Below are 15,305 nucleotides of genomic sequence, written 5' to 3'. Positions count from 1 at the left end.
TAAAAAGTACAAGTGCAAGAATGACAGGAAAATATAGGTTAAGTGAGAAATAGCAAGTGTCTGACAAAGTCTATCTTGTCATTTCAGTAGATGTTTTATTGATGGGGGATTTTACCTTGATTTTTTATTAAGCTTTCTCAGAATTAAAGTATTTTTCCTGTGTCCATCAATCAGTTTAAATTGTGCCCCCAGATGAAATATGAAATATGAAGATAGAGGTGTTTACATTATAAACCAGACTGCCCTGGGATAAACCACACTTCAATGACTAATGGCACCATCCCTGACAGGCTATGCTTTGATGGCAATAAAGTCTCCTGACTCAGAGCAATAATTCTCATAAAGTGATATAAAATTATCCTTCTATGGCAGAGTCTTCTGCATGGCCACCATTCCCTGTAGCTGACTTCTCTACGTGCAAGCAAAATATTCCCATCTTTTGGAAATAGTAATTGTAACCATGTCAAAAACCAAGGATCAATTCAATGAATGTTCTCCTCCTTTGTGTATTTCTCCTCTGTGTCCCTGGGATTGCAGTATGAAAAAAATTAAAAAATAGTGTTTATTATTTTTCTCTTGAAATGTTGAAACTCCACCATGGCGGTTTTTATCCAAATAGGCTATTGACCATTATAAAGGGAAGCAGAAGGATGGTCTAATTTTGTCTGAATCCACCAGATAATCTTGTTCCAAGGCCCAGTAGTGCCCAGATACTGTGCTGCGACTGTAACTTCGATCATAGATTGTTAGAGAAGAGTTAAAGTGCTCATCCTATCTGTGGAGGACAATTCATTTTGCTGCAGATTCTCGAAGAGTAGCAAATTTTCTTGATTTATCCAATTTGTTACTCAATTTCACTTTCAGGACTGTCAATGGGAGTTGATATGGCAGGAGAATCCCTGTTAGTCTGATATGGAACCATGAACTATAGTAGAGGTAAAAATATAATACAGGCAATAAACGTAGTGTATTTTTAACTTTGGGAAGCTAAGCACAAAAAGGAAATAAAGACAGCATTAAAGAAAGTATACACCAAGCACATTTTTGTAAAATCATATGTTTGTATTTGTACCTATATAAAAATACATTTAAAAAGTAGCATATAATTATTATGAATAATGACTACATACATGTCATGTTCAGTGTCAACTTTCACAAAACAGGCTTAATTTTTACTTGTTCTTTTAAAGCTTTCATGCTCATTGGTTGAATGAACATTCGAGAATTTTATGTTTAGCTGAATTATGGAGAACATTTATGAATTTTATAAGAAAGAAGGTAAAATATGACCCGTGATGACATAGAAAATTTCTGGTATAATTCTCTTAATGTGGATTCTAGAGTGTTAAGTGTTTGTTAATGTGCCTGCAATGTCTGTATGTGTCTGTGAGGGATGGTTGATATTTCTAAAATGGTCAGTGTGTCTAGATTTGGTTAGTATTTAGGAAGTTGATACTAAATTCCACCTCCCCATGTACCCAGAGTTGCTGGTACGACAAGACTGATGACAAATTTGGGCAATCAGTGTTCTTTCGTCTGTTTTACTGGAGGGTTTACTATTTCTTAAACAAGTTAGTTTTGTCTGAAGTAATGTGTCAGTGTCCATATCGGTGCCCAGGCTGGCCTTAGGATGAGCTAGGCTGTGTGACTGAAGTCAAACTCTTCCTAAGCTGACATTGGCCATACCTGTGATGGGCTATACCTGTGAAGGATATTAAATATCTTTTTTTTTTTTTTTTTTTTGAGAGAGAGTCTCACTCTGTTGCCCAGGCTGGAGTGCAGTGGCACAATCTCGGCTCACTACAAGCTCTGCCTCCTGGGTTCACACCATTCTCCTGCCTCAGCCTCCCGAGTAGCTGGGACTACAGGCGCCTGCCACCGCGCCTGGCTAATTTTTTGTATTTTTAGTAGAGATGGGGATTCACCACGTTAGCCAGGATGGTCTCGATCTCCTGACCTCGTGATCCACCCGCCTCGGCCTCCCAAAGTGCTGGGATTACAGGCATGAGCCACTGCACCCGGCTGATATTAAATATCTTTAATACCCTTCATGGCCTGGACAAAGTCTTGCTCCTCAAGTTAAGCACAAGGCCTGAAGGGGGGCTATGTTGGTTCTGGGGCAGTGATGGATTTTAAGAGAAGGGATATGACCCACACTGGCTAGTCCTGGAATGGAGGTTTTATTGCCCACCAACATCTGCTCTAATTTGCTCCTTGGCAATAAATAATTCCAACGGAGACGGCACTTGCCATTCGGATTCTTCCACGCTGATTCCAGGCTTTGCAAGCAGCCACCTGATTAAAAAGACCCTCCTCAGGAAGATTTACTTACATGGGGAGAATATATTAATGAGGAAACACAGTAGTATAGACAGCTTGGCAATCATACTTTAACACAAAATTAGGAAATTGTCATTAGGATTTATATCCCAATCTCCTATGAATTAAACTGGGTAAATCAGCCACACTGAGTCTGCTCAGCTCGGAGTTGCCAGAAAATATTCAGTTGGGGGACCTGTAAACCTGAGGGACAAACCTTGTCCTACCTGGATCTTAATAAGCTAGGGGCTTATTCTTTTCCTGCCAGAAAGCACTATATGTTTTGTCTCTCTAACTTCACCAAAGCCACAACATTTTTGTCAGTTCAGTTCGGTAGGAAATATTTATAAAAACTATTTCACAGTGAAAGAATACGATTTTGTAATTCACAAGATCATTTTTATCAACTGTGAGGCAAACAATATCGCACCCAAAGCACCCCATCCCCCTTCTTTGTCTTGTGGAGAAATAAAACCCTGTTCATCATCATAAACACTACAATCTACGTGGCTTCAGAGATGCTATCTACAAAACTTGAAAGAAATACACTTCCATGTCACGTAGTATGGCTTCTTTTCTATTGTGGGGATGTGTCTACACTAATGATATTTAAATTTCAGCTTGGCTCCTGGAGTTTCAGAAATATTGCGAAAACCCACTGGGGCTGCTGTAGGGGAGGGGAGTGTTATGAGTTAAGTTTGGTTACTGCATTTGTCTGCATATTCATCCTGACGTCAGACTCCTTTCTTCAATCATAGCACCTATACTTTTATATTGGACTTTAGTAAGCTCTTATTAAACAAAAGGTTCCTGGGCTTTAAGCACACATTCACATCATAGCCCCATAAGACTCATAAAAATATTGAATCACATGCAAATATTGTGTCTATTGAGGTTAATTCTACTATACATTTTGAGTGGAAAGAGAAATTATACAAACGCACTTCACTACCACACACACTCACATTGCTCCTCACTCGTAACATGCACACAAATGCCTACCAAGAGATCTAAGAACTTCATAGGTCTCTGTTATTTTAATCCTTACTGCTCTGTGACCATAAGAAAACATAACATTTCCAAATATTTGGGAATTGCACATATTTTAAAATACTTTACATTTATTTACCATAGTATTCCTTCCTTTTGCCATTTTATTTTAAAATATGCCGTGTTCTTTCCTTCCATTTTTTAAAGAGTTTTTTTCCTCTTGGCAGTTATGTAGTATCTTAAAATAAAAACTATGAGAATTTATAATAAAATTACTATTCCTTTTCCCCATTTCCACTTCTTCAATAAAATTAGAGGAATGCCAATGATTGCAATAATCTGATTGGGAATTTAAATGCAAAGAAAATCAGAAAATTCTAAATTGTGGTTCCCACAGCAACTATAAAAAGACACTCAACATGACTGCATATTTATATTAAGATATAAAACTTAACAACTTCCCCAGTTATACAAATGCTATATAAAAACAAAGGGGTGGAATTATGGTTGCTATGGGAATCACAACTCTGAACCTACTGACTTTTGGAAGTTTAAATATACTGACATAGAATTTCACACTGAATATTACATAGGTAGAGGAACATGCACGGGATTAGAGACAAACATGTGGCAAATGACATGAAATGAAATAATGAAAGAAATGTCACTCTAGTGCCTAAATGTCTCCTATTTATGGATCAGTCCCTCTCACTGTGATAATATGTTACTTCTGAAAACAGAGCAAAATATCCCTAGGCTATGCTTTGTGGAGTGATGGTATATATCCTTATCTTCCCCCTGTAGTTTGATGATTTAAATGTTCTATATGTAATGGAGGGAGTATGGGCATTGGAAACATAAAAACATCAGTGTGAATCTTGACTTAGCAATTTACTAGCCTAATAACATTTCATTCTTTTCCTAAAATCAGGATAATATTTACTATATTTATAGACTTTTGATGAGGCTTAAATGAGATAAATTGTACAAAATTTTTAGCTAAGGTATGCAATTAACATATGGATTCTTGCTTTTGAGGATTCAACACTTTTTACTCGACTGCATTCACTGTATCAGGAGTCTATTTGAATTTTTGAGAATTGCTGGCTGCTGAAGCAAATGTAAAAAAGGGATAATACTAATTTTTTATCTTCTCATTAGTTAGGTAATAAAATAAATAATATTAGCACAAGGTTTACAATCTATAAAACATCTAGATGTATATACTTGTTTAAGAAACATGCAAAAATAAGAACTAATTTATGGTTTTTGAGCTATATCTAATTCTTTTTCTTTTACAATAAGCTAGGAGTACAACATTTTTGGAAAACAGGTGGTGAAAATACCCATCACATAATTCCTCTACATCTTTTTCTTCAAAGCAATATTAAGCAACAGCTACATACTACTTGCACTGGTTATAGCCTTCTGCTTGGGTGATTTATCTTTTTTAAATTTTTTCCCTTATAAAGGTCTCAGGAGTTCTGGATTTTTTGTTTTCTTGAGTGGAGGTAGCTAACAGCCCTTCTTCTATGACCAAGAAACAGCTTCAGATATGATAACTGATTTAATCATGTGTTATTGATATTGTTATTATTATCATTTCGTTCTCAATGTAGAAATGCTAGCAGCGTTGTGGTTCAATCATAACTTCAGTGATGCATCTGAGGCAGACTGGATGGGTAGTTTCTAGTCTTCAGTAATTACCAGGGCCACAGTTTCTTGAGCAGAGTTCTCTCACAGTGATTTTAAAAGTCTTACATGTTGCATTTGTCATAATATGTCAAATTATTTACATGTCTTTGGAAAAAGGCACCCCAGGTCATGGTGGTACTTACAGCATATTTTAGTTCATTAATTTAAAACATTTTTCTCCAAGGTTTCAGTTATATTAGTTCAGAAAGCTTAAGGCCAGTGAACTGGAATTTAGCTAAGTGCCTTCTAGAATACCCATTAAATCGAAAAAGGTGTATACCCATTTATTGAAAGGGGTATTCTATGATAGGAGTCATATATGACCTTTGCAGAAACTAAGGCTCAGAGACTATTAACATAATATGTCTTAGGTCAGAGATTCTTAAATTTCTACAGCAGACCACATTAGAAAATAGATTTTACATTATGACCCACTATACACAAACATACTCCCATACTTACGCACAACTGAGAAAGAGGTTTCACGGAACAACTCACCCTAGCTATATGTAATGCACTTTGATCTATTCTATTCTACTCTACTCCTATTCTATTCTATTCTATTCTATTCTATTCTATTCTATTCTATTCTATTCATTCTATTATTTCAAAAAAATTATAGTTGCCATCCACTAAACTGATTTCATGACCTACCGAAAGTCTTCTATTCACAGTTTGAAAAAAACCTATAGAACATTATTAAAAAGTGGCAGAAACTGAATAGAAAACCAAGTTTTCTGAATAACATATAAATCAATCTATCATTATCTATCTTATCAATTGATCAATCAATCATCTATCACTCTATTATTTATCTGGCATATATATGACCTTGAGAAGTTACTTATTTTTTCTGTGCCTCAGTTTGTTTTTAATCTGGAAAACGGGAAAAATGTTGGTACCCTTTCAGAAACTTCAAATGAGTGTGTGTAAAACTCTTTGAACACTGCCTGCACATATTAAATGCTATACAGAGTAGTAATTAGCTCTGTTATTAGACAAACATCAAATACTTACAATGTACCTTATAGTTATTGCCATGGGAGTTAATATGGAATAAAATTAATTTTATCCTAAGAAGGCAACAGTGTAGTATGAGATAGGAACAGGAAAGTAAACCATTCTAATATATGATATGAGTTTTATGTTTGAGATATGATCTAGTTGCTGTAGTGACAGCTACCCGACACACACCTACACCCAGTTTGCTTAGATTGTTTCTGGAGATTCCTATCCTAAAATATCTTGGAGTTTCCAAGAGGAGTGCTCAAGAGTTCACTTAGAAGTGAGGGGTTTCTCCTCTGTCTCCTGTTTGTCTAGGGCCACACTGCTGCTGTGTCCTCTACTTAGGTAGGTACCACTAGTCTTCTCTATATGACGTCCTTCTATTTGTCACTTTATTCTGAGAAGTCACAATTTGTCACTATCATGGCCCTGAAACTTGGCTCAGTTCCTCTTCCATTCAAACTGAGGGGCAGGCTGTGCTGCCCTGCTGCTGATCCCACCCTGCAGTTCACCTTTGCCGCTGCTGCCCTTGGAGTGCTGGGCAGTCTTCCTGAAGTGACTCCTGTTTGTAGCTTACAGTATTACTTGAACACTGTATCATTCCAGAATTTGTGTCTGGCACTTTTTAGTTTCCTCCAAAGCTGTTTCCTTCCAAGGTGCTAAATGTGCCTTTGAGTTTTACCCTGAACACTTGATTTTTCCTGATTCTCAGCTTCTGTTTCAGGTTGGCTCATCCTGCCAAATTCTGGACTCCCTTATGATAAATTCTTTCTTAGAGATGTAATGTGCACCCAGGCAATTTGGCTTCTAAATGACTTTTTCAGTTTTGCAGGCATTCATGAATATATCTGAATCCCAAGAATAATACTGATAGGGACAGGAAGCAGGGAAGTTCTCAGCAGAAGAGGGCAGGTTCCTGATGACGGAACCACCCTCAAGATGAAAAGCTTGATACCATGGCCAAAGTGAGAAGATTACATCCCTGTTTTCCCACTCAAATGTTGCCTTTTCCAAAACTGCTCATGGCCTGCCCCACTTCCCATCCTGTGCCCATAAAAACCCCAGGCTCAGCCAGCAGAGAGCGGAGAAGCAGCTGGTTGGCAGAGACTACAGTTGGATGTTGGAGAGAAGTGGCTTGACTTCAGAGAGACAGCTTGACAGCATAGCTTTCAAGAAGAGTCCGGTTGGGGATGGCTGGACTTCAGAGGAAGGTTACCTTCCTGCTGCATCCCCTTTTCTGCTCCCCTTCCTGCTGAGAGCCACTTTCATCAGCAATAAAATCCCCTGCATTTACCATCTTCAATTTGCTCGTGTGACCTCATTCCTCCTGGATGCTGGACAAGAACTCAGGTGCCATGAGTGTGGGTGCAAAAGGCTGTCACACTGACCCTCCACTGAGCTGTTAACACTTAAGCTGTCTGTGGATGGTAAAGCTAAAAGGGCAGTGTAACACTTCCTCTGGGGCTTCAGGGATCACAGGCACCTGCCCCATACACTGCCATGGGGCCGGTACTGAATTTGCTCTTGTGAGTACCCAAAAGCATTTGCCCCAGCCCCTTCACCTGCTCACCTGTGCTCCCCCTCCCATAAGGGTTGGAGCAGTGAGTGGAGTTTGCCCCTGCTGGTGCCGAAGTGTCCAACTAGTTCCAGCACCCATGAACCCCAGTTTCTGCCCATGAAGGGGTCAGGGAAATATTCTGCTTCAATACTGTGAGTTCCCTTTCAAAGGGCGGCCCAGTGGTATGCTTCCAAATGTTTAACAACCACAATTTGGGTGGCGAGGAAGGCCTTGATTTGTAGCATTAGCTGATTTCTATGGGGTAAATACTCCCAGCAGGGCTAGTTACAGGGAACCAGTGTGTACCTAGAATTGGGAACTGATGCCTATATTCAGCTCTCTTGAACTGGTATCTGCTGGCTCCAGCACATCACTGCTTACAGCATATGCAAAAGCATGACTAGAAGCAGGTTCCTTCTGGGTGATTGAAGTGTTGCAATACTCCATGGGCCAGACATATTTAAGTCTAGGCAGGACTCTCTGTTATACACACATACACACATATATGCACTAATAGGCACACACATAATGACCCAAGGCAGTCAATAAGAATTAAGTGGCATAAAAATGTTAGATTTTTCTCTGCTGCACTTCTAGGACACCTTGTAGATATGTCTATGACAACCTTTGTACTATGGTTTCCTTATAGGCCTTCCCAACTGGACTGTTTTTTACTTTTTAACAGCTTTTTTTGAGATATAATTTCCATATGATACAATTCACCCATTTAAAGTGCATACTTTAATGGTTTTCAGTATATTCACAGAGTTGCAAAACCATCGTCATAGTGAATTTAAGAACCTTCTTGTCATGCTCAAAAGAAGCCTTGTACCTCTTAGCAAGTCACTCCACATTCCTACTCACTCTTCTCCCTCCACCAGCCCCAGTCAACCACTACTCTACTTTCTGTCTTTATAGGTTAACCTATTTTTCACATTTAATATAAATTGAATAATGTGTGGTCTTGCGTGACTCTCTTTTTTCATGCAGCATAATATTTTCAAGAATCATTTGTGTTTTAGCACATATCATTACTTCATTTATTTCTTTAAACTAAATAATATTCTATTGTATGGACAGTTTACATTTTATTTATCATTCATTAGTGGATGATATTGGGGTTATTTCCACTTTTTGCTGCAGTGACTGCCTTCAACTTTTTATGCATAGACATATATTTACATTTCTCTTGGATATTTACTCAGCAATGAGATTTCTGGGTCATTTGGTAAATCTATGTTCAACATTTTGAGGAACTGTCAAATAATTAGTTAAAGCAGCTGCAACACTTTACTTTCCCACATGTCTTATATAAAGGTTCCAATTTCTCCACATCCTCTCAACCACTTGTTATTATCTTTCTTTTTGGTTGTAGCCAGTCTTGTTAGTATGAATTAGTATCTCACTGTATTTCTCTAATGGCTAATTATGTTGAACATCTTTTCAGGTGCCTATTTGTGTATCTTCTTTGAAGAAATGTCTATTCAAACCTTCTGTCCATTTATGAAAATTTGTTTTTTCATTATTGTTAGTTCTTTATATATTCTTTAAATAAATTCACTTTCACATATATGATTTTTGTATACATTTTCTTGATTCTGTGTATTTTATTTTCACTTTCTTGATGTCATTTTTTAAGCACTAAGGTTTTAAATTTTAATGAAGCTTAGCTAATTTTGTTTGTGTGTGTGTGTGTGTGCTTGTGTGTTTGGTCTCATGCTTAAGAAGGTTTTACCAGACCTAAGATCACTAAGATTTACTCCTGTGTTTTCTTAAAAGAGTTTTATAGTTTTAGCTCTTGTATGTTTAGGCCTATGATCCATTTTGTGTGTATCTTTTTTTTGGCATCACATAAGGAAGTACGTGATGTTTTCTTAAATCATGGATTTCAGGATAAAGAATTTGGACGTAATCTTAAAGAAAATGAAGCACAATCTTCCGTCTCCATGCAAATTAACCACTGATTCTCTATTTAAAAATTCACAAAGACAACAGCCACTGTGGAATTTATATTGGTCGTTACACATTTTCTTCCTTTGAGTGTCTACCAATCAAAATTCTACTGCCATCAAAGGTTTAGTTTTTCGTGTCTTTCTTGCTAGCAGACCTTACTTCTTTAATGGACCCAGAACTGAAAAAGTATTTTTACTTTATGACAAGTAATTAAATTTCTAACAATGTTCTGGATCAAACAGTTTACATGAATTAGTAGTCTGATTTTTTCTAGGTGCAATTATACGTGTAAACAATTTTCTTTTCTCCCAAAGGTTGTAAATATATTTATAAAAATAGATGGAAAGAAAGTGGAAGGGGAGGGTAACCCCCACCAGAAAAAAAAGAAACCTATTGAAGTTAAAATTAAAAGGAGGTGTTTGATATGATAAATAATGATGAGATAATGGGTTTCTGTGGGATATGGAAATAGATTTCACAATGAGAATGAAGACCTCAGCTAAGAGCTGGTAGGTGGATAGGCTACGCACTTAAAGTTTGGCTTTCCTTGTCTAGTTTTTCACAAACATGACAAGCACTTGGCAGGATGATCGTGACTCTTGTATACATGGGTTTCTCAGAAGAGGCAGGTCATCTAGGAGCCAAAAGGTAATACTGTATATCCTAAATTATAGGCTACTCATACTTCAATATTTTAATTTCTCCATAGTTTTATGTGAATCCTTTAGGCCAGGTGATGATGAAATGCTATCTGAAGAGAAGTCTGTCCTCTATTTCAAAGATAGATATGGCTGCCAGGCAGGGGGCTTTGTAAAGGGGTCATGCTGAGCATAGCAGTTTGCTCATTCTGGAGAGGAAGGAGACTTACCACAAAGGTATAGCTCATAAGTTGATTAAATATCCACAGCATTGCTGTGCGTGAGTTAGTTAAGGGGCAGTGGCACAGAGACCCTTGTCATCACTAATGAGGATTCCAACCTGACTGATCTGACCTAATCATTGGGAGATAATAATAGATCTATTTCTTAAATTACTGGTTAACTTTGATGATTGCTCAGCAGCATGCAGACTAAAGCAGAGCCCAGCATGGATTTTATCATTTATTTAATCTATTTTAGACCAAAATGTGTCAGAGAGAATACAAAAGACATTAAACTATTTAGAGTTACCAAGCTATAAATATTTGTCAAATATTATTTTTATAGCTCGAAGCCACCCTTTGCTTTTTAACTTCTAAAATTATTTTTATAATCGCTGTTTTTCTCCCTCTCATATATGGTAGCCTTAACACAATAATTTATAAAAACAGGTCAGAAATCATTGATTTAGTAAGTTTCTACCTTGCAATATTCTACAATTAAATCAGAACACAACTTCAGGATAGATAACTAAGTCTTTAAAGAGGGAAAATACATAGATTTTACAATTTAGGGAATGTGTAAATCTACTGTATTGGTTTTATCCTCATCTCAATTAAATCAATTCCTTATATCTCCATTTATCATCGCAGAAGTCTGCCCTTATATTCTGTCTGAGTTAGTCCTACAAAAGCATGTCAGGCTAATGCAGACTTCTTTCTTTTTTGATAATTTCCTCCACAAGTTAGCAAGTCTCATAAGAAAAGTTCTATCTATTCCTCTATTATATTCTATTTGCATGCAGTTTAACACAATGTAGAATTTTAACAGCATGAATTTTTACCTTCATTTAAAAATATTTGTATACTGAAATATGATATGCATAATAAAAGTTCATAAATCCTAAATTCAATAAATTATCAAATAGTGAACACAGTAGTGAAATAGCCCCTAGGTCAAAAAAAGAGATCATTACTGGAATCTACAAGCCATTCTGGTGATCCATTTCAATCAAAATCTCTTCAACCCTCACCCAGGGAAACCACTGTCTCAACTTCTAGAGCTATAACTGAATTTTGTCTGTTTTTGAACTTTATAAAAATGCAATTATACAGTCACATGCATTCTTTTGTATCAGTTTTCTTTCAAGAGTACAGTTGTAAAACTCAGCCATGGTTTTGTGCATGAAGGTAGTTAGTTCATTTTCATTGCAACAGAGCATTCCATCATATGAATATAGTATAATGTATATATACTTAATGTTGTGATGGATATATGTGATCCTTCCAGTTTAATATTCTTGAATATTTAGCGGCACACGCATACTCCTTTCTTTGGGTGTGTACCTTGGAATGGGATTGTTGGGCCCTGGTGTGCACATATGTTCAACTTTACCAGGTGCTACCAAACTGTGGTATTCAAAGGTGTTATACCAATTTATACTTCCTCAGGCAGCGGCTTTTCCATCAATTCAATATATGACATTAGCAGTTTGAAGTTAAACTGCTCTTAATCCTTCTTTTTTTAGGATTCAACTTCATAACTCTTTAGAGAAATAAATATTTATAGAAGTAAATATTTATAGGTTAAATAAGTTAAAATTTTGAAATAATGTGCACTTCAGGATCTCAACAAAAAGGTGAATAATGAAATAAATTTATAATTCCCTTTAATCTCGAAAATAATTTGAGGCCTAATATGGCTAAGGGTGTACAGATCCCTTTATCTATGTGAAGATTATTATTTATCTATGAGATGATGATTATTATTAATGACTTTTCAGCTAAGGGAAGTGAAGTCTTTAGACTTAATTAATAATTAAGTTATTGTTATTTGTAATAATAATGGTTGTTAATAATCATAATCATCTCATAGGATTATTGTGACAAGACAATTTATCAGAAGCTTAATATAGTAAATGCTCAATAAATAAGTTATTATTTATCAATAGTATTTGAACTTAGGTCTTTACATCTGGTTTTAATACCTGAACTTCATTAGTAGTAGTCTAGAACCGCCAATTTAACTTATGCAATAGTGAAAATAAGAAAAAGCAGAAACATCCCTGACCTCCTGGGTTTAGGGGAGGTTCAATATTTTTACCTGGTGTCATAATACATGAGGTCTCAGACCTAAGCCTGAAAGTTATTTTCTTCAATGGTGGAAGTAAATTTTCTCTTTGTTTCTCTCTTTATCGCTTTCAAGGCCATAATATGATGTTTGTGGGCCTCTTTTTCTTTTAAAAAATAACAAATAACTAAAAAGTATATACTATGACAATATCAATATAAAGATAAATATAGTAACATTATGTAGTAAAGTGTTTTCTCAAACTAAAAATAATTTTATTTTGAGGTTAAAATAAATTAAAACATTTTTGTGGACTTCTAAATTCCTATTTCTCTCTCTTTCTCTTCTCTCTCTCTGTGTCTCTCTCGTGTGTGAAACTCAGATTCATGTCATTCATATCATAGCATTCTTCTTAGGTTAGAAGGTAATAAGACCTGACACACAGTAATTCTGCTTATAATCAAAGTATAAAGCCAGGATTTTGTAGTACACTTCAGAGAGAAAAAACTCACCAAAAAATAAATATACACTCTGGGAGCCCAAAGGAGGGACTGAAAATAGAGGGCTAACTTGAGTTTTAGAGAGATACTAGGAAAACTAGGCTGGGCACATAAAGTCAATTCTCACAAGGTAATAAAACCAGTTAAGTCTATATGCTGATAAATTCTATGAAAGCACTCACATGCCAGACATACTGTTCTCCATCACATATTCTAAGCCTCCATTGCACTCACTAATACTTCTTTAATTCTTTTCTACTTGATATTTTAAAATTCAATGAAATATCAATTGATGAACTCTGAATAGCTGCTGTTACAATTTTCTCATTTCTTCACAATGATCATGAATAGTGAACTCTCATGATGGTTATTTAAATGGACACTGAGCCAGTCCTATTTTTTCTAATCTCTTAACATGGCCAGCCTAATGGGTCATTTTCACCCTGTTTGGCATGGTGGATACATTCTTCCTTTATATTGATAAATCAAATTTCAGTTAATTTCAGTTAATTAATTTGGGCAGAAGCATCAAAAGAAAGGTAATATAACATCATCATCTCAATTTTAAGTGAATCTACGTCTTGTAGTCCTGGGCCATATTTCTGTTGAAGCCTTTTGCTTATTTAATTTTTTTTTATAATTATTTTTTGTGTTAGTAAGGTTTCTGATCAACATTGCTTCATTAAAATAAATGATTTGATGAGCAAGGCAGCTTAAGATTCATATTCTGTGCTAATTAACAGATTCTTCTAATTGTTAGAAAGCTCCTGATGTCTTTCTAATTCTTTCAACTCATTACTTTCTTACTGAAGTTACAGTTCTTAAAGGAATAGTAACAGATACTATGAAACTTCTTTTCTGCATATACACACTGCCTCAAAATACATTAATTTGTGAAAGCAGGCCAATAATTTAAAATCTGTTAATTGATGTGCTTTCCTTCCAAAACCAAGTGAAATATCTTTCCTATTTTCCATTTCTACTTTCCCATCTGGGATACTAAAATGCATTTTTAAAAGATTACTTCTAGTTGAAAATAATGTAGCAAAAACATATATTAAAATCTCTATGTTTCCACTTGAATATATTTTAGTTAGATCAGTAGATTAGGTCTGGGTTTCTGCTACTACAGAGAAGAGCAAGGAGGAGGGATCTAATTTTATTTTTAAAATGTTAACTCCTCTATATGATTACTAACAAATCAAGTTTATAATGTGTCAATTTATGCTTGGATCATTATGAAGTGACGTTTTTGGCAATTGTGTAGATGGATTCTCTGCATGTTAGGGCTGGTGATTAAAGATAGACAACTTTGATTCAGATAAAGGTGATGAACATTTGAGAAATACAGTGGTAACCATATAAATAGAAAACAAAATACATATTAAAAATATTGTTCAAATGAAGCATAGTTTTGAGGAAAGAGAAAAGTCAAGTAAATGAATGAAATTGATAAAAATGTATTCATTGCTCTTTAAGGCTGAGCAGATAGCACTACCTATGCAAAGGTTGTTATTTCTTTGATTGACTGACAGACATTAAGCCACTTAAAGAAATTTACTTAAACGATTGTTTTGTATATTAATTTCAACAAGATATTTAAATCCCAACATGTTGCATACATACATTTGTAAATTCCAATTAATTTTGAATAAAATTGTCAAAATGTTAGCTTTCCTGTGCTTTAATTTATGAGGAATTAATAATAACAGTTTACGTTACCACTTTATAGCTTACAAAATGTTTCAAATATATTATCTCATTGGATATGCTCAGAATTCAGAGAAATAGACATCCTTGATTTTATATTACAAATGAAAATACAAGATAAATTAAGTGACTGACTCAGTAACACAGAAAGGGTACATTCTCAACAAGGAATAACATAATTTCTCTTTTAACTTCAAATCTCAAAAACCGAAGAAAGAAATTTGACAACTGTGTTAAGTGATTATCAATAATTAGTCAAACACATTACTTTGAGTTCAGTGGTATCCCTAGGAAAAATTTAGAAATATGTATATGAAAATGATTTATTCACACTTCTAGAAGAGAGTTAACAACCAATAAAACTCCAAAGTTCTGTAATACACAAATTAGTACGAGATTTGTTTTTCTTTAAGTGGGCAAATCAGTCATCAAAGGGTGAGGAAAAGCTAAAAAAATTTCAAAAATTTGTGTTTCATAAACCTGCACAATTTCATAAAAATATTAGCTCTAAGCATCCCAGAAACCATGGGAAAGAGAAAAACTAAACGTTCAGAAACATAGTAGAATAAAATGTGTCAACTTCTCTGTAGAAACAAGTATTTTCTTGGTCTAGAGATTTGAAAGAAATTAATCAGAGTCTTCGTATAA

The 15,305-nt window shown here is 35.3% G+C and overlaps 1 long non-coding RNA gene across 2 annotated transcripts in view; it reads left to right on the top strand.

Moving 5' to 3' along the window:
- Window positions 1-15,305, top strand: part of LOC101927329 (uncharacterized) — a 154,205-nt gene that overhangs the window by 84,765 nt on the left and 54,135 nt on the right. The gene's annotated exons all lie outside the window — the stretch shown is intronic.

Source organism: Homo sapiens, chromosome 9, assembly GCF_000001405.40.
Source record: "Homo sapiens chromosome 9, GRCh38.p14 Primary Assembly".
In the NCBI taxonomy this organism is placed as follows: domain Eukaryota; kingdom Metazoa; phylum Chordata; class Mammalia; order Primates; family Hominidae; genus Homo; species Homo sapiens.
This window is presented reverse-complemented; position numbering and strand designations above follow the sequence as displayed.